This window comes from Homo sapiens, chromosome 4 (genome assembly GCF_000001405.40).
Source record: "Homo sapiens chromosome 4, GRCh38.p14 Primary Assembly".
Lineage (NCBI taxonomy): Eukaryota > Metazoa > Chordata > Mammalia > Primates > Hominidae > Homo > Homo sapiens.
The window spans coordinates 125,344,620-125,370,073 of NC_000004.12; the positions used below are offsets into that span (position 1 = coordinate 125,344,620).

At 33.7% G+C, this 25,454-nt stretch overlaps 1 protein-coding gene across 6 annotated transcripts in view, besides 2 other annotated features; it reads left to right on the top strand.

Annotated features, from left to right (window-relative positions):
- FAT4 (FAT atypical cadherin 4) overlaps positions 1–25,454 on the top strand; it is a 177,978-nt gene that overhangs the window by 29,665 nt on the left and 122,859 nt on the right. The gene's annotated exons all lie outside the window — the stretch shown is intronic.
- Positions 12,717–13,508: an enhancer, noted in NCBI's record as "OCT4-NANOG hESC enhancer chr4:126278491-126279282 (GRCh37/hg19 assembly coordinates)". NCBI's record gives its function as "activates a minimal SCP1, AML or CMV promoter by ChIP-STARR-seq in naive and primed H9 embryonic stem cells {active_cell/tissue: H9 hESC(naive and primed)}" and the evidence as "EXISTENCE:reporter gene assay evidence [ECO:0000049][PMID:30033119]".
- Positions 13,509–14,298: an enhancer, noted in NCBI's record as "OCT4-NANOG hESC enhancer chr4:126279283-126280072 (GRCh37/hg19 assembly coordinates)". NCBI's record gives its function as "activates a minimal SCP1, AML or CMV promoter by ChIP-STARR-seq in primed H9 embryonic stem cells {active_cell/tissue: H9 hESC(primed)}" and the evidence as "EXISTENCE:reporter gene assay evidence [ECO:0000049][PMID:30033119]".

Below are 25,454 nucleotides of genomic sequence, written 5' to 3' on the forward strand. Positions count from 1 at the left end.
GGGCGTTATTCTGCTTTCCTATGTGGAAGATTCCTTCTCATCATTCACTGTTTTGGTCAAGAACACCCTGATGAAAAAAATCTTTGGTTGCCTTCCAGGTAGAGTTAGTCTCTTCTAAGTTCCACCATTTTTATTCACACCATAATTGTAATGCTTACCCCATTGATAAATTACTTGCATTTCTAACTGTCCCCCCTGCCCCCCACCACCATGACTATGATCTCTTTGTGCCTGGTGTATTTCTCACTCATCCCTGGGTCCTCCATGTCTTACAGTGGTGCCTGGCACATGGCAATAATCAATAAATGCCAAGAGAATGAATACATTGAAATGAATTTGTGAATGGATGAGTTTTGCTTTCTTTGGTACTGTAGTGATTGTTATTTGCAGATTATTTCTGTCTTTTACCTAATTTAGAAGGTCCATGTGTAATTTGGTCATGGTTTGAACTGCTAGTAAAAACAAAGGTCATCCTTTATTTAAATTCCCACAGTAGCTGCTGCTTCCATTTACACATTGTAGATGGTCAACGATTGTTTAAAATTGGTGAGCAGATGAATATCCAGGTGCTTCCTGGAGGAAAAGTGAATGGAGCAGATCATCCTCCAACTTAATCACTGCAATGTAATTTTTCATATGGGAATAGAACAGCGAAAATATTCTCTGCAAACGAAAAATATTGGACAATTAAGGTGCTAAGATTGCCTTTTTTGTGTTTTTGGTTTGGGGTCTCTGTTTGAAATGACACTAGTGAGCTTCAGGTTTCTTTCCTTGTTAACTTTTGCTGAAGGCCAAAGAGGAATGATTAAGGACTTCTAAAGAAGTATTGAAAAAAAAAACACACAAAAAGTGGTGACAAAAATACTTATTATTTTCCTTTAATTTTTTTCTGCAATTTTGTTGATGTTGTTATTACTACCATTTAAATATAGTTAATATTAATGATTACTTTTAGTAGCATTTAAGGATTTTCATCTTTCAAATTACTACTCTGGCATGTATTATTTATGCACTTTGAATTGCTTTGCATGTTGAAATTTTCTTTTGGCCTCTAATTCAATTAGAATGCCCTTAGAGTTTTGAAGGTTGCAGTTTATATAACTTACCTTATTAGCTATAAATGGAATACAGATTTACCCTTAAAATGATCTAGTTGTCTATATTTTAATCACATATATACATGTAGTGCTATAAATGTTAACCAGGTAGATTTTTCCCAGCTGCCTAGCCAAAGAGAACGGTATTAGTGTCACAGTTCAGTTGAGCTGTTGTTATCTGTATGAGATCAATCTTTTGGAGAAGGCAGTGAAGGTTTTCTTATTTAATTTGCTTTCAGCAAGTCCTCCCCCTCTTTTTTTTTATATATAATTTTAAGTACTGCTCTTAGTGGGTCATTAGACTTTGAGAATTATTCACTTTGTTAGCCCAAACACTAAAACCTTGTGTCTTTTAACTCTGATTAGTGACACTTTAATAAAGTCATTTGAAGTTCAGTGGACTGAATTTTCCAACTTTTCTGATGTTTCTATGGTCACGGTAGAGCAACCTGTATTGAAGCTTGTACACAAACTTTTAAATGCAAATCTTGGAAAGCTGTGTGTAATTTTGTATATCTGACTTCAACAGGGACTGCAAAATGTGAGGGATTAAAAATAAAAGCGGTAGCAGTGTTTTCCTTCTTTTTGTTTTTCAAGTTGGGGTACAGTAAGCTTTGGGAAATAGAGAAGTTGTCACTTGACTAAACTTGATTCTCTGAGAAAAAAAAACTTGCAGATTAAAACTTTTATGGCTATACTTTTTTTTTGACAAACCAATGAGCACAAAACCTCATTTTCTTCCACATGATTAGACAATAAGGGTAATGCAAACTATTGAATCATAAATTTCTTAGAGATAGAGCCTTGAATTTTTTTTTGAAAAAGTAAAGAAAAAGTATATTCAATGGCTATAATTAAATCATGCACGGTGAACCCACTTTGGAGGAATTACTTCATTTTGTATTGCATTGCGACTTGAGTGAACATTTACAACACGTGAGAATGGAAAGGATGAAAAATTATGGTTGTCTTTCGGTTCACAAGAATTCAAGGAGGCAGGTCATTGAGTTAATTTTCATGGGAAGACTAACTCTGGCCTGCTCGCATATTCAGAGGCCAAACAACCTGGTATTGACAGCCTCAATTTGGGAGGGGAACATGCAGCAGCATTGTGCCATGGTTTGTTGAGGAAAAACAAGGGAAGATTTAAAACAAAGCTGTGAATAGGAACAGTAGCCCTTGTGTCTTGAAGCTGATTGACTTTTCCTTTTTAGACCTTTGTGAAAGTGTTACCCTCTCCTTTAAATAAGGGCTATACTGTGGTAAGAGAAATATTTAAGATATAATTCAGTGACTCTAGGAATGGGAGCATTTACACTTCTTGAAAGAAATCAGGTGAGAGCTATTAATTGCAAATGCCATATGAAAGCATCAGCCTGAGCGGTAGGCTCAGTGCTAGGCAAGGCATATATAAGAATACTAATACTAATAGGCATTTTTTCCAAACCATAGATATATATTACCAATCATATGTTATAAATTATATATTATCATAATATATAATATATGGCATATATTATGTCTATGTATTTCAATCATATAACCTATTTACATATTTTATATACAGAAACATACACATGTAGATAAAAAGACCAATCAATTAATGGTACTAACAAAAGAAAGAAGATAAGAAAAATCTGTATAGTCATATTTACAGATATTTTTAGAAGTAAAAATAAATGTCAACAGTACATCCAGTGGAAAAATAGTTTTCTAGAACTGCCCTTCTTTTTCCAGTACCTCTTCAGTTTATTGACCTTTGAAGAGATGGCTGCTAACACTTAACTACCAACATTTGTTTAAAAAAGAAAAATTAGTTTGTACTTTTGAATATATATTTGATATATAATTTGAATATTGTATTTAAAATATAAAGCATAAATATAAATCATAAATAAAAATTACTAATAAATTACAATTTGTAAGTGTGCTCACTGTGTTATATTTCCATTTGGATTTGAATCCACTTATCAGACTACAATAGAAATTACATTTATTTTTAAAAATTAATACAGATTACATAAAATACTAAGATGATTTCAGTACATACTTACTAAAATTTTAAGAAGACCCAAGACTTTATAGTAGGACCTCTGAGTTATATGTCTGAAAATTAATTGACTTTTGGATTTGAATATATTACTAATTCACTTAGCCAGTTTAATTGGATTTATCAGTTGTTAAGAGTTAGCAGTTTATCATAATAATCATATTGATGCTTAATACCCTCTGCATCTATTATTTGGGATGTCTGGAGTTGAAAAACTCCAGACACAATTTAAATGAACTAGAAAAAATCATAAGGTTTAGGATCAGAAGGCCCAGAGTTCAAATTTCACATCACTCAGTCCCTGAACTAGCTCATGATGCTGTAAAAGTTGCACAATATTTCTGAACCTCGATTTCTTTATCCATAAAACAATGATGTTAATATTTACATTGTTTAGTTATTGTGTGTCCTAATTAGTTAATGTACCAAAACACCTAACATTGTAGTTTCTATACGAAGCATATTTAAGGAAATAATGTTTATCACATAAATTGGAACGTATTCTTTTATATATAAAATGCCCAATTAATATACAACTTTAGAGTTCAGAGAACACAACAAAATAGTAGGGTGCCCACATCTGCAATATGAAGAACAATGAAGTTTTTTATGTAGGGTGTAAACTTCAGAAAGTTGAAGGATCCTTTCTGATCTCATGTGTCCTGCTCATCAGTGTATCCCCAGCGCTGATCCTGATGCCTGATACCTAGAGAGCAATCAATAATTAATGCTATATTGAGGAAGTGAACCAACACCCAGGATTAGAGTGGAGAAAACTAATTTTTCTCCACTCTAGGTATGACCACTCAAGGTAGTACACTAGAGTAGTTCTTCTTTTTTTAATATGAATACACAAATTAATAATCCTGGAAAATATGTTCAGATTAAGTAAATAGTCAAACTTGGAGCAATTATCCAAGACAGCCATATAAGGCTGTCTGCATGGATAATAGCCATAATAATGTTGATAATTCTATGTTTAATTGTGATCGAAGCCGACATCTTTTTCCTAAAAGGGTGTGCTGAGTTTATTATGAAATTAAATTTAGGATAATTTATATTTTAGTGATCACATCTTAGAGAAAACTGCAGGCATATTTTATGATGCTAAGGTTGGAGAAATCTAAGAGTTCTCTATAGTTAATTTCCTGAAAATAGAAGTTAGTTTTCAAAAGTCCAAACAAATCAGGAAGATTAGAAACTAAAATAAATTGTCATATAAGAAATAATGAATCTATGCATTGGGGATGTTGCATTTAGTTTTCGTTACCACGATTAGGAAAGATTCTGAAAAAGGATTAAATTATCCAGAGGGGTTTAGAAGAGTATACTAAAAATATGAAAATTAGGACTCTTAAGTCTATGGAAGAAAATATAAAAGGCATTTTTGTTGAAGTTTATTAAATGATGTAAATTATTACTGAAACTGCATTTGTTTTGAATTTTCCAGTATATTAAAACAATGGCTAACAATTATAGTTGAGAGAAATATATTTAGGAAAAGTAATGCATTATTCAGCATTCTATTATCTATACTATATTAACACATGTGTTATGGGCTGAAATTACACCAGTATCACATGAGGGTAAATGGGTTGAAAGTGTAAGTTTAAAAGAGTTTCAAATGAGTTTGTGAATGGATATCATACCCTTCCACAAATGACAGAGATGGACTATTAAATCAGAGTTGGTAGTTTTTGCTTTTGTTTACTGTGTTTCTCATTCACCCTAAATGGTCCTATCTATAACAAGCTTTGGAAAAGCACCATGCACCTGAAATTCTTGCATTCTGATGTTCATACCTAGAGAGATTTATGGTGACATAAGCAGCCAAATAGCACAAGTGAAATTTTATATGAAGTATATGACATGCATGATTCAATATATATGCCCACTTTTAAATATACCAATAGTATATTTGGACTATAATAATGAATTCATTTCAAATATTGTCATTTTGCTTGACATTCGTATCATCACATAAGCTAGATTCCCGTTATATAAAGATGCACAAAGGCTCATTTCAGAAATAAAAACAAATAACTGTTATTATTTTTTACAAAGGTGAAGGACAATAAAAATTGACTAAAATCCTGAAAAAACAATTCAGAGTGCTTCAGTTGGGCCCTAAACTCAATGCGCAATCTTGACACATATATTGAGTTATAATTATTTACTACATTATATTTATTTTGTAACTGTCGTCAGTTTTTTATGTATGGATCTATTAATTTCAATGAAATTTGGATCCAGTAAATTTCTATACAATGGAGTTTGGTTATTTGGCACTTCATAAAAATGTACCTTTCACATAATGAATGAATAATTTATATTATGATTTCTCTTGTGTAGGACAGTTCTTGCAGGAATACAAAGTAATGGTAAATTTTGATTTAAAGTGCAGCAATTCATGCACTTTAGAGCCAGTTGGATGCCAAAGTAACTTGGTTGGTGTTTATTTCTAGTTACAGTCAGTGTTTTCTTTCTTTCTACCAATGAGATGAGATATTTGAAGGCTTTTTTTCTTCTTAGGCCATATCAATTCAAAGAAAATGAGAAACCATAGATTTTGGGTTGGCCTTACAATGTGCTGTCATTTCATCTTTCCAAATATAAAAATCAAAACTTCATCCTACTTCACTTAATCTTTTCAAAGCTGTGTTCCTTAATGCTGATTTTTTTAAATCAATTTCAATGACTTCGTTTCTTGTATACAGCAGAAAGAATCCAGTTTGGTCTTTGTAAGGAGTGAAAGACTAGGAAGGAAGTATGTGTTGTATAGTCAGTGCTTCAGAGTTGGTAGATTTTGCTTTTGTTTACTGAGTTTCTCATTCAGTCCGAATGTTCCTATCTATAACAAGCTTTGGAGAAGCACCTTTGTCCCCAGAGCTGGCCTCCAGGAAGGCTTGGATCCTTACAAGTTTGGAAAAATGGTTACTGGCGGTCATCCATAGGAAAACAGAGCAAGTTTACAAAGTTCCTGCTGATTTCCTTGAAAGTACTCCCTCCTCATTCTCTACAGTAAGCCATTGAATGTTACTAGGGATGGACACTAAGCAGAAAGATTTCTGAGTATCTATTCATCTTCCCCAATCAGACAGTCCTTTAAATTTAAAGAAGAATGCCTGACCCTTAAGACAGGGAGGTTCATCATATTTCCCATTCTGACAGTTTGGAATGAAAGGACACATAAATTATTATTATTATTATTGAATTAGAGGTATGGGTATGATGACTGAGGTTTCTCAGCAGAAGATTTCTGATTCCATGCTTTGCATCATTAGACAGCCAACAGAAGCTGCACTTAGTGGCCGCGTGATGTGATTGATTGGTTAGATTGGAATAAAACTTTTTTGTTGTTTTTTAAATCCAATATTACTTTATTTTTATTTAATTAACTTACATTCAAATGCAATTGATCATATGATTTTCTAATTTTAGGATTAAAATATATATGAAGATAAGTTTGGTGCCACCAATTTGAAATTAAATGTACAGATAAAACAATAGAACAATTACTGATACAGGCCATCACTGATACAGTAACTACTTTAGAATGCATCATAAATTTCATTTTCATATGGATTTGGTAAATGTGCTTTTAGTTACAGAATTGTTAGTCATAAATCAACTAGCAAAACAGAATTTCAAATTTTTGAGAAACCATGAACCATGTGATGCATGTTATTTTGTTATCCTCTGCTGTCTCTTAAGAAATTATTTTTTTCTAGTCACATTATTTGTATCAGCCTGTCTGCAAAACTGAGTCTGTGCATTTCTCTCTGTCTTCACAATAAATTCAGTTCCATTGTATGTGCAAGAGTTCTTGTTCATACCATAAGCTTTTTAGCTGTTTCATGATAGCTTAGTTTTGTTAATATATAGAACCAAACTCCCATATGAAGTGAGGAAATAAATGTGTAATGAGTAAGAAGGCAGAATTTTGTTTTGATTTTTCAAAACTTGTTACTGAAAGTCAGAAATGTTTGTACACATGTTCTCCTGATTATGATCAGTGATTAAACTTTTGTATTAAGAACTCTTCCTACCAGAAATACTCATCCTAAGAAAGATGAATTCTTCAGAATTTTCCCATTTATTACTAAATTCTAGACACTTCCAACTCAGAACAAACTTGGTTTTGAGGAATACCAAGTAGGCACAGGATTTAAGGCAGAAATTCAGCTAATTCCAGAACGGTTGATGCTACCTGTTGAAGCATTTTATAGTGGAATTTCAATAAACAGTAGATATATTATGCCCTTTGATTTATTGTAGTATAACTTTTATTTTCCCCAACAAATCCTTTTTTTAAAAAGGGATTTAGGTTGTTTCAAGTATATACTAATTTAATTGTCATGATTTGTCTAGCTTATAGAATACTACTTATGAAGACTATTATACATTGAAGTTCTGTGCTTAAATAGAATATAGCTCTAAGTAATTACGTTAGTGGTAATTAAAATATTCTGGAAACATTTTTTGGTCACCTGGTGCTGTGATTTTCAAACTAGAGCTGAAAAAAACCTCAAGGGCCAGGGAAAACTTTGTCACTAGTACTTCTCACCCTCTTCACCATTTCAATCAGTATAGCTCCAAGTGTAACAGCTTTAAATGATTTCTTCCATGTAACATTAGTTATTTTTAATATAATAATTTATTGTTCTCAAAAAAATGTTTACACAGAATAGGTAATCACTAAATGTTTTGTCTGAAAATGCACTAGCATGCAGGCCACCAACATATTTGGGAAATACATCTCCTGTGCTTGACTGTTCCTCTTTTAAGTAAAAACTTCTTTTTCCATTGTTACTTTTTAAGCCTATTGATCAGTGTTTTCTGCACTTCATTTGTGTACATCACAATGAGGACATTTAAAAAATGGGCTTCCCTAATTTCAGAGACAAGTTCTTCAGATTGCTTCCCCATATGTGCAATACTTTCCTCTCTGAGAGCTGCCAGTCTTCTTTGTAGGGCTAGCACGCATACATTGCCCTTTTCTGAAATGAAACTAGGGCTTTCTTCTGCTTCTTCAGCATATTGCAGCCTTGGCTTTAAAAGAAAAAATGCCAGAGTCAACTGTATAAGCCATAAGACTACACTGAATTCTACTGGATGCAGTGATGTATTAAAAAAATGATTTATTTCCATATTGCTGTTTCCTCAGCAGAATGCCTTGGACATAATAGGACCTTGATGAATGTGTTTTTAATTCCTGGTTAGCCCTCTTCTGTATGGAAATCTTAAAAATATTATTTCACTCTAATTTGAAGATATTGTCAAATCTTTGTGAAATTTTAGCAGATTGTAAATTTTAGAAAGATCCAAAGGAAACATTGTTAATACTAATAAAGATTTTATGTGACCAAAATCGGATCTTATTTTTCAAGAAATACTCAGTTCTATAGAAAGTTTGGCCTTCAGTCAGAATGACTTCTTCATTCAATCAGTTTTATAATAATTTGAAAATGAAAACCAGCCAGCATTTACTGATGATAGTTTACAGAAGTTTCACCAAAACATTACTTCATCACAAACAAAGAAACTATTCATTGCCTGTTAGGCATCATCTCAACATCTGTCCACTATTGGCTTGTCCATTTTTATATTGTTTTAGAATATGATATAAATAATTTTTTATTATTTTCTCTTTAGTTTAAAATTGTACTGTGCCCCAAATTGGTATTGGCTCAGAAATGAGATGAATATGTTTTAAAGTAAGTCCTTTTCATAATATGTTTAGTATTCTTTGTCAATCTTTTAGTTGGCTTAGAGCTTGATATTATCTTTAAAAACAGAAATTAATACTTGTCATTAGAGTAAAACAGTGCTGTAGCAGAGCTCACGGTTACATTGATAAACTATACATACATATATGTATTATATATTTATCTTAAGTAGAAACTATCAGTGCTGGTATTGTTGTAAGGGAGATCTGTGGTTTCTATAATATGACTTATATGCATACATACTTTATTAAAAGTGAACATTTGTTACATTTTAATCGTTAGAGTAAAATATTTAGTGACTGAAAAATTCCAAATGAAGACTAAGTAAAATATGTTTTGGTTGAATTGTGAAGTTTGAGAATTTGCAAAGCCATAATGATAGAATCAACCCAAAGGTCCCAGAAATTTTCAATAATCTATCATCCTTATTTAAAATTATTATACAATAAAAAATTGTGTTTTAATCGCATGAGTAGACAGATGTTTATGCTGTTATTCAGCGAATCTTGCAAAAGTGAGTGTAATTCATAGAATAAAACAATGTTGGAAATATGCTTTCTTAAAGGCAATAAAAGTTGAAGTCTATGTATCAAAGACAAAGGTGGGAAATTGTATTGCATTTTATAATATTTTGGAAAAATTCTGTAAACTGCTATTACTAAGATTATTTTATAAGATTTTACCCCAGATTTTCATAGGTAATAAATGGGCAAATAACTTATCGTTTTCCCTAGTCAGATCGCTGGTGTTAAATTAATATAAAGTTTTAATATAAGGGATTTTTATTAATAAAGTATTTTGGTAACACTCAACATGTACTTTATTTGCTTTTGGATATGTTTTTGATTCAAATATAGAAAAGAATAACTAAGATACTTTGGTGTTATATATGGATATAGTCAACTTAGAAAATTATACACATTGAATCTTTTTATTGTGCTTACTCAAAAATGAATTGGTTTCATTTCTTTGCTGATGGAATATTGAACACGCTCTCACTCTGATGTACAGTTATAGTGTATACTAGGTAAGAAAAGAGAGTCCCAGGCCAATTTAAACAATGATAGGGTTTGCTTTTCTGAATTCTGAGAAGCTAGTTCAGGGGAAGAAATGAAACCACAGTGTAGAGGGTCGAATGGTGAAGGTGAAAAATTAGTATCAAGCCTCAGTTCAACAGGAAAATGTGTGTGGAAATGGAAGAATGAAGGTAATATTGGTAGATGGGAGAATAGTAAACAAGCCTTTCAGAGTTTAATGAAAAAAAAAAAAAAAACTGGTTAGAACAGTTGGGTAAGAAGGAAAATAAATCTAAAGTTTAGTTTTTAACTTGATCAGAGTCCTGGATCAAACAGTGGACCTCAAAGGAACTGTTCAAAGCAGTACTCCTAGTATGGTTTCTGAGACTTTCTGAATTTTAAGATTCAGAAACGTGGGAGGAAGTCATACTAGCTTAGCTTCAACTGCACATTTATATTATGACAGTTTTTCCTGTTATCCACATATTTTTTAAATTTAGACATGAATATAGAGAAATTTAGTATAGCCTCTACTTATTAAAATGTTAGTACTTTACTTTTACCAAATAATTCCCTGCATATCATCAAAAATTTATATTTTTAGCCAATTTAATTTTAGAGAACCTTCATATGAGGTATTGACACCGGATAGAAAATTAAAGGAATTTTAAAATATATATTTCTTTCCAAGAAAATGATTTATACATTCATGTAATAATTTGTATTACCCTAAAACATATTTACATCTCTAAAGTAAAATTAGTTTCTAAGGTGGATATGAGAGTTGGCTAGTTATAACAGAAAATTTGGATATCCTCCACATATTTTAATGTAACAAAAAAACAAATTCTTTTGATCCATCTCATTACAGAATGTGTTCCAGATATAATTCCAAATGCATGTAGGTAAATGGAAAGAAAAATTGGATCCTGGAGTTGTACTGATCTGATGGAAATAATATTACGAACTTGGTTTGAGTGTCAGCTCTTTTTACTAGCTTTGTGCCCTTGGTCAAGTTACTTGATTTTTGTTAACTTACGCTTTCTTATCTGTGAATGAGGAAACACCTATGTTTGGGGTTTTGTAAAGATTAGAGAATGTAATTTATGCATGGTACACATGCCTTTTATGATACAGGTAAAATATTTCACATCTTCATCTCATTTGTTTCTGGTGATGTAGAGGTGGTAGGTCAATCTTTTTTTCTTTTTTTTCCTCCAATAATCAGTGGACTCAATTGAATTGGAGAAGGGGTTGCTTGGTGGAAGAGAAAAAACATATGGCACTGATGATGATGATGATGACAAAGTTGATTTGCAATTTTTTAACAGATTATCTTTCTATAGGGCCAGAAGCCATATTGTCTCTTCCTTCCCCAGATATTCTTACATTAGAGGATTTTTTCTATCACAGTTGCACCCCTTGATTGACATAGCAATATCCTATAAGTAGCAGCCCTGCTGTTTGGATCATGTTTTTTTTCTGTCGGCAGTGTATCACAAGTATTTTCCTCAGTGGCCTAAACAGACCCTGAGTGGAAGGCTGGTAAAAGCAACCTCGTCTGCATGCATCACTTTGAATGATTTCAAAGAGGAAAGAAGCAGCTGTGACAATGTTCACATGAACCACTCAGAGTGGCCTTATCTTTGTAGTCTAACAATAATAGTACACCCTGGCTGCATTCCTCTGCTTGAGAAGAGCAAAGTTGCCTAAGAGCCATCCATACATTTGTATTCCTTGACATGTCTTAAAGTTGGATGTATGATAAAGCTAATGACATCTTTACATCCCTGAGTAATTTGTCTTGAAAGTAAATGTAGAGAAATGCTCTTTATGGATTTATTGCATGTGTGGTCAATATTTATTTTATGCAGATATATGAACTAATATGTAACAGATTGTTATTTACAAAAGAAATTTGAAGTTTTATTTATTTGACTAGCTAAAGAAATATAAAAAGAAGTTTTCTACATATGCAGATCATTATAGAAATAATATTCTTCTCTAAATTTGTAGATATAGGGTGTTTTGTTTTTTGTTTTTTTTTTTTTTTTGCCATTTATAGGTTACAAGCTATGTTTAGGTATTTCAGAGTGCCCCATATATGAGTTATTTTAAAAAGTGACAATATTACAGGTGACAAGACTAATATAAGTAGAATATAGTTGAGTTACAGAATATGTTGTAATAGTCTTTACAATGCACATCCAATGAACATCATATAGACAGATATTAATATCAATATATCTACACATAATTGATATATAGTATATATTATAATAAATATAAGATATGATAATATAACAGATAATATAATAGAAATCATAGATATCTGTATATCAATAGATACAGACTATAAGTCAATGGCGGGATACTGCACATTGCATTAAATCTCCACTAGTTCTTTGTTGAACATTCATGAATCTAAAAATGTAAAAATTAAGTCCCCTGAGGGAGTAACTATGTCTTTGCATGCCTTCTATTTTAATATCTCAGTATAGCTCCCCCAACACTTCCCATTATGTGCTTTTATACAAAGCAACCAGTAATAATGCTGAATGAATAAAAGTGAACATAGCATATAATGTATTCCATATGTATAAAACAATATTCACATGAATGAAATTGATCCATCAGTGTGTTCAACTATGAGTCTGTGTTTCTGAGTACCTGTAAACAAAAAGAAGCGTTGAAACCTTTTAGGGAGTTATGAGAAATAATAGAGTAAAATGATAAATACATTTTTACTGAATAAATATACCTGAATGAGTTATTCCAGTTTTTTCATGAATTTAGGCAAATGTACAGTCTCTCGATTGATAATAAAATTTGTCATTTTCTCAGTTAAATTGATACAGATTCTTGTAGAGCAAAAAGACCTAAAGATAAGATTTGGGATAGATTTATACCTTAACCCAGGTAATAAATAGATTATTCGGGTACTTTAATAGTAACAAAGGAATCAAATGGAATTTTAATTGAAATGATTTTACTAATATGGTCATTAGCATTAAGTAAATGAGATACATTTGCCATTTCAGCTGTATTTGTTAACATTAGATTTTCATACAAATACAAGAGATGTTATTTTAACTGCTCATTCTTATGGATTTTACTGCTTTCACTAAAGAGAAACAAAATATTTTATCTCCTCATTGCAATTTAGGCTTAGGGAGTAACAACTAAGCATATACATTGTTGAACACTGCTGGCATGTGCTTTGTGAATATGTTTGAATCAAGGGCCTTTACAAAGGGCTCAGACCTTCCTCCTAGGGGGTTGTCATTTACCGTGGATGCTCTCGTTTGTTGTGGTAAACAGCCTCAGAAAACGTCTTGACATTGTCAATTCCAACAGATTAATGAAGTAACTGGGCCATACATCCCTTCCCCTTTACATATGAAAGGAAAAGCTAACTACTTCATAGAGCTGTAAGATTGTTTCCTTTTACCCCTTGGTATTAGTTTCCTTTGTAGTCAGTTAAGTATGGTTCTTTTAAGTAAGCCAGACCAGAATTCTTTTAAGTAAGCCAGCTTGGGCGGGGGAACTCCAGTGTGATTATAAGTGAGTATATAGGAAAAAAAGAAATGAAATTAACCTTTTTTTCTTTAGAAATCTTGTGTTTAATTTTATGTTCCAGTGTTTTAAATAACTGAAACCTTATTATGGACAAATTTACCTGTTATGTTAGGAGAAATGAGTTTCATTTACCATCTTCATCAGCGATCCCCAACCTTTTTGGCACCAGGGACCGGTTTCATGGAAGACAATTTTTCCATGGACCCAGGTGGAGGGATAGTTTCAGGATGATTCAAGTGCATTACATTTATCGTGCACTTTATTTCTATTATTATTATATTGTAATATCTAATGAAATAGTTATACAACTCATCATAATGCAGAATTAGTGGGAGTCCTGAACTCGTTTTCCTGCAACTAGATGTTCCCATCTGGGTATAAAGGGATACAGTGACAGATCATCACCATTGGATTCTCATAAGGAGCGTGCAACTTAGATCCCTCACATGCGCACTTCACAATAGGGTTTGTGCTCCTATGAGAATCTAATGCTGTGGCTGATCTGACAGGAGGCAGAGCTCAGGTGATAAAGTGAGTGATGGGAAGATGGGAAGCGGCTATAAATAGAGATGAAGCTTCACTCCCTTGCTCACTGCTCACCGCTCACCTCCTGCTGTGTGGCCCAGTTCATATCAGGCCGGTTTCCTATCAGGTAATGGTCTGTGGCCCAGGGGTTGGGGACCCCTTATCTACATCCACGTTTTCTATGTTTGTGAAGATTTGATGTGGGGTTATGGGTTTGAGGAGCTAAAAATTATAGTTAGTAGAAGGAAAGACAGCTAGAAGTGGAAAGTAAAATCACTTACATTGTACTTTTACTAGGACCTATATTGTAGGTATTATAAATCATACAAACAAGTTTGTTATACAAAACATGATTACCTTATCATTGTTTTATTAAGTATTTAATTGTGCATGAGTAATCATTGCCATTATTGATTTGTCCATATTAAACTTATGATCAGACTTAGTGGACAAATTTTCAACAAATAATAGAAGCAGCAGCATAAATATCTATATAGAATTAGCCAGGTTCTAGTCTGGCACATCATCACATAGTAGCACATTTAATGCCCCCAATTATTCTATGATATAGATACTACTAGTTTCCCCATTTTCCTAATGAGAAAAGTGAGTCATAGTCAGGTGGAGATAATTCACCCCACGTCTTAAGGCCAAATGGAAAAAATCTTCTTACTCTGGAATTAGGTGGTTAAGTATCTTGATTTTAATGGATGTTGTTGTTTTCCTAATAATTGAGTTATTTGTATTAAAATGCTAAACTGGCAATATATGCCGATGGCCAATTTACCTCCAAATATATTGAGTTCATACATATTCATTAAGTGGGATATTTTGGAGAATATACTGCTTATATGTTCAAATGCAAATAATTTAATTCGCTGTGATTTATAATACTGTTACTCAGTAAATGGACTAAAGGCAGGGTAAGATTTATCAGTCTTAAAAATGTAACTATGAGATCATTATAATCCTATTATCTTCTAATTATCCTTTTAAATCAAAAACATACTTTCATGTTGGTATGAGTATCATAACCAAAAGAGAAGAGAAACTTCAAAGAGAAAACTGAATTAGTGGAGAGTAACTTAATTTCAGAAGAAAATCGTACTTTCATATAAATTCATAGTGAAAGGTAACTATGTGATACCAGCATTCAGGGAACAAATGCCCTTACGTTTTTGCCTGTGTGTTTGTGGGGAGGGAGGTTGTTTCATTTTGTTTTTATTTCTTGCCTGTTTAAATTTCTTTTACTCACAGGCTCCAGCCTGGATCTCTGGGAGGGAGAAGTAGTTCCAAAGATTACAGTGCTTAATCTTAACTCTGAAAACACTACTTATTGACTCTCCACTGGATTCCACTCGCCCAAATTCCCTAGATGGATTTTCCCTCAGGATGAAACAACCTAAATTCAAGTGTCCTAAACTGTCTTCCTCTCCCTCCTGCCATTGCCTTTCCTTGTTTCTCTAGTCTAATCCATCTTATCTTTTGTTCTTTTCTGTTAATCTATTAATCAGGTCTCTGACATTCTAAAAGCTCTCATGCCCCTTCGCAATATTTCCTCCTTTACGCATTGCTAGCACCAGCACTTCCACTACTCCAGGAATTAACACCTCTTTCTCTCTTTCCTCAATGGCTAAGAGATCTGGAGTCATCATGTCTGGGTTCATATTCCACTTTCCCAATTTACTGACTTCGTGACCTTACCAAGTCAGTTAACTTCATTAAATTTTCATTTCTTCATTTTCAAAACATTTTCATCACGTTTCCCACACAGGCTTGTAAGGAGGACACAATTATGTCATGAATATAAAGTTCTTAGCGGGGAGTTTGGCACATAGATCACAGATTAGCCGTTCTTATTATTGCTCCCTCGGTAGAGTCCCACTGTGAAGTCATTATTTCTCACATAACTCACTAATTCAGGAACTCTTTAATCAAACCTATTATGTCTAAGGACCTGAGTAAACAGTTACTGTTCTCAAGGAACTCACTGTCTAGAAGAAGAAGAGGCTGACCAGCAAAGCCATAATTACAATAAACCTATGCTATTTGTACTGAACAATAATACATATGCACTTAATTGTAGTCATCCCCCTGACTATACTCACAAAACTTAACATGTCTTTAGGGGAGGAGGATGGATTGCAGATATGCTATTAGAGGCATAGCCATCTTTACTTCATTAAAAGTTTAGTTTACTAAAATTTGCAAATGTTTAAAATATGGTCTTGCTTAATTTCACAAATTCTGGGATAAATATTTAAGGATTTAATATTTATTAAATTTTTTATTTATTTATTATTTATTTTATTTATTTATTTTATTATTTTTATTTTATTTTATTTATATTTTTATTATTATTTATTTTATTTATTTATTATTTATAAATATTTATTAAATATTTATTAAATGAGTGCACTGATGTGTATTGTTTCAAATACATTTTATTAAATTTAGTGTCAAATTGCTAGCTACTGTATGGCTAAATATTACATTTTTCCCCAGTGGGGCAAAGTTCAATTCAATTAGCTGCAATGAATATGTATTAGATCTCAATTCTCTCCTGTGATAAGTGTTGGAGGGAATTCAGAAATAATAAAAATATATCTCTGTTCTTTGGGATTTCAGTCTATTATTAACTAAGCATCTGGAGCAGTTACACCTATGAAACAGTTTGGTATGGCATGACAGTGAAAGCAGTAACAAGGTACAAGGGGAATAAAAAGAATGAGATCCATCAAATTGTTAATCCGGAAGGCACAGGGAGTGAGATGGCATGTGACAGTCAATGGTTAGTGATGGGGTAGAGGCCCATATGCTCATGAGAGATTTGAGAAATATAAAGTCATTGTCTTTGTTTAAAAGGATGGTGTGCAGGTGGTAAATACTGAGAGGTGATCTGACAAGTGTTCATTCAAACTCTGCAACCTTGATTGAGACTGTGCTAGATGATATAAAAATACATATGCCCTAACAGGGAGGATAGGCAACCAAACAATTAATTTTAAAATTGTGAATTTACAAACTGTGGGTTATTATATGCTACAGAAGCCACACAGAGAAAGAGTTATTTGCTCTGTTTCAGAAAATAGAATAGAGGAGATGTGGGAAGGCAAGATAGTCCTTATAGAAAAGTGGTCGTTTTATTACCTGCAACCGTTCTGACCCGCTTGTCATTCTATGTCTTCCTACGTCAGTCATGAGCTCTATTTGTTCTCATGTGCAAATCCCAGCCTCACTAGGATGCACTCCAGTTATCCATTAAGCACGGAGATTCCCATGAGCAATGGGACAAAATGACTATTGGACTTCTATCTCAACTGCTTGTGTAGAATGTTGCCTTGTTTATTTTAAGTCCCAGATTCTATTATTTTCCCTACTAACCATGGGTAGACTCTGGATCAGACTTCTCATTGAAAGACCTTTGAAATTTGCTTATACTCAATTGCCATTTCAGTCCCCTCTCTCACTAGATGTTCTTGACTGCTGTACCACTCTTCAGATTCATGATGTGCTGATAATACAATGTTTCCTTGCATTGTTATTTTGTTATATTTACCCTTATATTATCATGGTTTTTGATTAAAAGCGTATGTGTGTGTTTACACATAAACATTTTTTTTTCCTTTCTCAACTTTTTAGGGATATGCAGACTATATATTTCTTTTCAAGAGGGCAAGACTGTAAATAGATTGAGGGCAAGCATCATGTTCTGTCCAGTGTAAGAGAACATTCTGAGAACCTAGCCGGACATCAGGTATACATTGAAAGATATTAGTTGAAATTATAGGTAGAGCTGTCATGATGACATGAGTAGGTAATATTTTGAGAAGTTTGGTGGTATGATATTAGAAGAGAAATGATTCTTCTCTTCTGATGCAGGGAAAAAGATTCCCAAAATCTGCAAGCGAAGAATTGGGTAGAGGAATTATTCAGTTTAGGATCTGGTCTAGAGATATACAGATTTACATTTACTGTTTGGCCTTTTTTACATGGTTGAATACCATATGAATTTTAAATATTAGTAAAATATCCAAAATTACTTTTGATAGAGGAAAATGTATTGCACTATATATTCTTCTTTGAATAGAGAACTTTGTCAAGTAAGAGAATAAAAAATACAGGATGATTTCTATTAAACATACAGTATTCAAAAGCTATGTGAGGGAATCCAGCTAGTGTGATTATGTCAAAAGGGAAGATAGCTGGTCTGAAGGTAATGAGTTATCTCAACTGATTGGTCATGGCCAATTACAGACAGAACTCCTTATTTTACTTCCCCACCCCCCGACTACTGCACTTGACTAGTCAAAAAATAAAACAAACACCAAAACCAAACTAAAGGGAAGACAGTCTTTTCCTAGCTTGGCATTAGTTGGATGGTTTATATAAATGTGAAACTTTTAGAACTCATTTGAAAAAAAAAATTTAGTAAAGCAAAAAGAAGTTTTTCAAATAGTTAAAAAATTTAAAAGACTGAAATTATCAAATCATTTTTCACAACAATAAAAATTGTATACAAGGCAAACTATGTACATATATGTGGGTGTCCTTAGGAATAAATGCATAATTTCAAAGACATGGAATTTGTAAGTGTTAGTCATGTTCTCACCTGTAATAAAGCAATGTGTTAATGAAATTGGGTGCTTATATATATTTATATATAATTTCTTAGTTTGAGAGAAGCAAATAGAAGTGAATATATGTAGCCACTTTTTAATATTTGTATTCAGCTATAATTCCTCCTGATTTGCTCCTCGTTTTAGAGTGATGTACTGGGAATGGAATCCTAAAATTAAACTTATTTTAGATTAAATCATACCATGTTAGTTTAATTTTTTTTATTTTTTCAATTCTATATCAATATAGCTTTTTTTTAATTTATATATATATTTTTTTGAGAAAGAATCTTGCTGTATTGCCAGCCTGGAGTGCAGTGGTATGATCTCGGCTCACTAAAACCTCCGCCTCCTGGGTTCAAGCGATTCCCCTGCCTCAGCCTCCCAAGTAGCTGGGACAACAGGCGCATGCCACCACTCCTGGCTAATTTTTTGTATTTTAGTAGAGACGGGGTTTCACTATGTTGGCCAGGATGGGCTCGATCTCCTGACCTCATGATCCGTCCACCTTGGCCTCTCAAAGTACTGGGATTGCAGGTGTGAGCCACCGTGCCTGGCCTGTAGCTTATTTTTTAAAACTAGATTTGATTTTGGAATTGCAACGATTATGGATTATTATATTCACTACTTATTATCTCATCACTGTTTAGTTTGCAGAAAGGCTTACTTAATATTTCATTTATATGTTCCCCTATTGATAGTTCCTGGAAAACTTTTAATGCTGGCCATTAATTTAACATATATTTGCTTAGAGTCTACTGTGCATTACAATCATTCTAGATTTCAAGGATGCAAAAGTGAGCAGAAACAGTTGTCCGTTGTTGATGGACTGATGGAGGTTCTTGAAACTTGCTTATTTTTTGCTTACTTTTGTGGATGTTCCTATTCCTTCTCTCTCTCTCTCTCTCTTTCTCTCTTCTCTCCACCCCATGTGTGCCCTCACTCTAGCTTCCCCTCTTTCATCCTCCCTCTTGCTACAAATTAAATGTAGTTTTTTTCAAATACCTTTTCTTGGACTTTTTTCTCTCTATAGTGATTCTTGTAGTAATCTTATAGCATCATCTGTCACATTTATGTTGATCTCTTTTTACTTCTGTCTCTTCTTCAGCATCACAATCTGTTTATGTGCTGGACCTAGAAATTTAGCCCCCCGTGAATTTCAACTTCACCCTGTCTATTAAGAAAGCCAGTTATTAATAACGTATTTTAATAAATTATGATAAGCATATGATAAGGAGAAAGAATAGGGGACTTTCAGAATATATTAGAAGGGAACCCAAACTAGACTGTGGATCACCAGAGGAGTCACTAAAGGAGTCTCGGTGGAAGTGATATTTAAACTGCGATACGAAGGATCGCTTGAATTAACTAGGCCATCTTCAGTGGTCAGGAGTCAGTTTTCTGAGCAGAAAGAGTAGTATGCATAAATGCCATGAGCTGGAAACGCATACAACTCTGTATAACTGAAGGAAGTGAGGTTTTTTCAGCTGGTGCATGGAGTGCTGAAAGGAAACTGAGAAGAGACCCTGGAAGGTCAGCTTGGGTGTGAGAGTGAAGAGCACCCAAAGTAAGACTAAAAGTTTGGTAGTTCTCATACCAAAATGAGAAGCCATCAAGAGTTTTTATCAAATTATTGACTTTATCTTATTTGTGTTTCATAAAAAGCTTTCTGGCTACATGAAAAGAAAACAGTTAGAGGTTGGGGGCATTGCGGATTTAGAAATTGAGCATGGAGAACTTGGGGCCCTGGACTAACAGTTGATAGTAGAGTTGGAGGTACATGCATTGAGTGGAGATGTGTTGAAGATGTGGTCCTGGTATTTCTTGATGACGAATTGAATGTAGATGTGGAAGATGATGGAAGAACCAAGGAAGATGGCTTAGTTTCTGCCTTGAGCAACTAAGTGGATGATGAGTTAGGGAATACCGGATGAGGAGTCATAACAAGAAGACAATAAATTAGTTCAGGACCTTGTTAAATGTGAGGTCACTCTGAGATACCAGTGGAAATATCCAGCAGGCAGATGGATATGTGAACTGGAGCACAACAGAGAAGTCTAGATTAAAATTTGCATTTGGAGTGTAGTATCCATGAAAGTAGCCACGAGCTTGGATATGTTGTCCAAAAGAATGTGGACTCTCTTCTCATCATTCAAGCTGAAAACCTCAACTTTATTCCTTGACTCCTCTTTCTCTTTTTTTCTTGCTTCCTATATGTAAATAAATGGTGAAGTCTTATCAGTTTTGCTCTCTATTGTCTTTCCTATTCATACCACCATTTCTGTTTCCAATAGTCTAATTAGGTTCTTGTTATTTCTGACGAGAGAGCTATTATATACTTGAGGATAGCAAGACTGGTTGCCAGGAGATTCATAGACTATTGCAGTAAGCTGGAGAGTTATGACTGCTGTTTAAACAAGATCATTAGCTGTAGGAAAAGAGGAAAGTATATTTAAGAAATAAAGTATATGATAAAGTAATAGAAAATGAATATTTGACTAAAACTAGTATGGGAAACAGAAACGCCTTGAATATAACTAAATTAGAATTATCCTCCTTTATAGATTTAACTTTTATTTTAAGTTCAGAGCTAAATGTACAGGTTCGTTATATAGGTCAGGAGTTCCCAACCCCGGGGCCACTGACCAGTACGGGTCTGTGGTCTGTTAGGAACCGGGACGCACAGCAGGAGGTGAGCGGCAGGCTAACGAGCATTACCACCTGAGCTCTGCCTTCTGTCAGATCAGCCCCTGCTTTGGATTCTCGTGGGAGCGTGAACCCTATTGTGAAGTGAGCATGTGAGAGATCTAGATTGCGTGCCCTTATGAGACCTGCCCCACCCTGCTCTGTGGAACAATTGTCTTCCACAAAACTGGTCCCTGGTGCCAAAAAGGTTGGGGACTGCTGATATAGGTAAACTTCTGTCATGGGGTTTGTTGTACAGATTATTTCATCACCCAGGTATTAATTAAGGCTAGTACCCATTAGTTATTTTTCCTGATGCTCTCCCTCCTCCCATCCTCTGCCCTCTAATAGACCCCAGTATGTGTTGTTCCCTTCTATGTGTTTATATGTTCTCCTCATTTAGCTCCCACTTATTAGTAAGAACATGGAATATTTGGTTTTCTGTTCCCAGGTTAGTTGGGTAAGGAAATGGTCTCCAGCTCCATCCATGTTCCTGCAAAGGACATGATCTTGTTCTTTTAATGGCTGCGTAGTATTCCATGGTGTGTATGTACTATATATATATTTTTAATCTGGTCTACCATTGATGGGTATTTGGGTTGATTCCACGTCTTTGCCATTGTGAATAGTGTTGCAATGAACATAACATGTGCATCTTTACAATAGAATGATGCATATTCCTTTGGGTATATACCCAGTAATGGGATTGCTGGGTTGAATGGTATTTCTGTTTTAGGTCTTGGAAGAATTGCCACACTGTCTTTCACAATGGTTGAACTAATTTACAGTCCCACCTACGGTGTACACATGTTATTTTTTCTCTGAAAGCTTGCCAGCATCTGTTATTTTTTTGACTTTTTAGTAATAGCCATTCTGCTTGTATGAGATGGTATCTCATTGTGGTTTTGACTTGCATTTCTCTAATGATCAGTGATATTGAGCTTTTTGTCATATGCTTGTTGGCCATATGTATGTCTTTTTTTTGAAAAGTGTCTGTTCATGTCCTTTGCCCACTTTTTAATGGTATTTGTTATTTTTATGTGTAAATGTGTTTAAGTTCCTTGTAGATGCTGGATATTAGACCTTTGTCAGATGCATAGTTTGCAAATTTTTTTTGCATTCTGTAGGATGTTTGTTCACTCTGTTGATAGTTTCTTTTGCCATACAGAAGCTTTTCTTTAGTTTAGTTAGAATATAAATAAACCAGAAGTTTCCCTTTTAATTTTAGCATCGCAAATATGCATCAAATGTTATCAATTTATTTTACCACATTGCTCCACAAAGTCTCATCCACCAATTATAATTCTTCCAGGTAAAATTTACTGGAAGCAATTATTGGTAGAGCTGGAAATAGCATTTGCCAGACATTTTTCTACACACTGTACATATATTAAATCATTTAATATTTATAAACATTCTATGAAACATCACATTTTACAGGTGAGGAAATGAAGAACACAAAGGTTATAGAGGGTATTTTTCAAGGTCATACAATTTGTAACTGTCAGCAATAGACTTGAACCCAAGTATTCTGGTTCCAGAATCTACACACTAATCCAGGAAAGTAAAGGACTGCGTATGTTTTAAGCACCTATTAACGTGCCAAGAACTGTGGAATATATGAAAAATACATAGGAGTCAATATGTAAATACACATAGTTTAAATAGCAGGTTGGGGGAAAAAATAACATACTCTGTAACTAGTTTTTTCAACCGTATATCATAGAAAGTTAAGTTATTCAGTTGTTCAAAGTCAGTCAGTTTCCATGAGAGATGGTTAAAATGAAAAACCTTCCTTATAGGTGAAATTTAGGGTGACCATTGCCATTTTTAATCAGATATCCCCAAAATTCACCTTTCCTTGACTAGCATTTAAGAAAGTACTGCAAAATAGTATATGCAAACATTGGCTTTGGTAACTTTTGCCAACTAACTTACCATAGTTTTAATCAGGGAAAATGGTGAGTTCATGTGTGGAAGTTCTACTCTGACTCAGGTAGGTAGAGATTATGAACAAAAAGGGAAAAGGCAATTTCCTACCTGATGGTGTGGAACTCTCTAAATCTGCCAGTCCAGTTTTTTTCCCCCTTCCGTTTAAGGTTTTATAAGACTTTCTAAATAGGCAATTTAGTATTTGTTACTAGTTTGGAAATTATTTTTCTGGAGCCATATGAAGTACTAAGTATTTATAGACAAAAATGTTGGCAAAGAATATAGAGGTTCTTGAAATGGCCTTTCACTGTGGCAGAAGAACTTGAATACATTCAAGTGCAAATCCAGATTTGTAGAGAGTACTGTGGGTTTATGGAAATAAAGCATTTGATTGAAAAAGTCATTTTTTCCAGTATGACTTAGTGATTATTAAATAACCATGTTTTTAATCTGACTCACTGGAGGGAAGCTCCATAGCATTAGTGGTAAACAGTTTATGCAGTTAGAATATGAAAAAGACAAAGAAAAGCAAACTAAAAAGACATTTTAGAGTAGAGTGGGAATTGAGCCAATGTGCCTGACTGGTAAAGTCTTTGGAGGGAAGCCAGGAAGTCTGTGATATTTCTCTAGTTAGGATATATATATATATGTATGTATATATTATATATATGTATATATATATATATATAAAAATCATATTGGATAAAAAATGTTAACCCTTTCTATCAAATTTCAGACTTTCCTGATTCTGAAACTCAAAACTGAATGCAAATTAAGATTTTTAAAAAGTATGATTAAAAAAAATACCGCATACACACATGACATCTGGCAATGCCTTAGATCTCTCTAAAATGTCAAGATGGGAAAATATCCAAAACTTTTTTTTTTTGAGAGAGAGAGAGAGAAAGAGAAAGTTGGCTTCTAGCCATAAGCCTGCCGAGGAATTCTTACGAGAATTTCTGGAAACTGTACTTTTTAAGGCAATCATGTTCTCCATGCTTTCGTGGCCTCAGATGTTACTTGAAGGAATTTAAAGTTTCATCTATTTGTGCTTTGTTGCTGTACACCCTTTAGACTTCAGTGGTCAAGTTTCACTTTGGAGAACTGACAAAAGAAAAATATTGTGTTTGGCACTACACAATCTTAGAATACTTTAAGAATGAATATGCCAAGGGAGAGTCATATTATATAGCTTGAATTGTATTTTTCATGCATGATATGTACATCACCTTATGTCACACAAATCTCTATCAGCCTTTTGCTTTTCCATTAAAATAAATACCCATCAGATACTTGATATAGATATTCTGTGGTTGGAGGGCTTAAGTGAGATGCAGTTTCAGGTAAATAACATAAAATCAGCAGACCTCTAATCTGAATTGAATGTGTTAAATCTTATCAACCTAGAGTTTTAAGGAAGAGGGAACAACTGTCTTCAGTGAGTAATGGCGCGTGCATTAATACCAGTTACTCAGGAGGCTGAGGCAGGAGAATCACTTTAACCCAGGAGATGGAGGTTGCAGTGAGCTGAGATTGCCTCATTGCACTCCATCCTGCCTGGGTGATACAGTGAGACTCCATCTCACAAAACAAGCAAACAAATAAATAAAAAAACAAAAGAAATGGCCAAGAAGAAAAATGCCTAGCTTTCCTGCAACAATTTGGGAGATTACCATCATCTGTATTAATTCATTCATTCTGTTGTTTAATGAAAATGGCTAAAGTCTGGCCTTGCCATTGAGGTTTTTAAAAATTCTGGTAAAATATGCATAACATATAATTTGCCATTTTAATATTTTTAAGTGTATTATTCTGAGTCATTGAATAATTTCAAATTGCTCTGCAACTGTAGCCGTCATCTATCTCCAGAATGTTTTTGTTTCCCAAACTGAAACTCTCTACCCATTAAACACTAACTTTCCATTTCCTCCAATCGGCAAGCTCCAGGCCACCACTGTTCTGCTTTCTGTTCCCATGAAGTTGACTACTTTTGCTAACTGATATAAATGGAATCATACATATTTGTTTTTCTGTGTCTGGCTTATTTTACTTAGCATAATGTCCTCCAGGTAGATCCAAGTTGTAGTAAATGTCAGAATTTCCTTTTTTTTTAAAGACCGAATAGTATTCCATTGTATGTATATACTACATTTTGTTTATCAAAAATGGACACTTGGGTTCCTTTCTCCTTTTTCCATTGGGCGTATTGGGTTTTAATATTA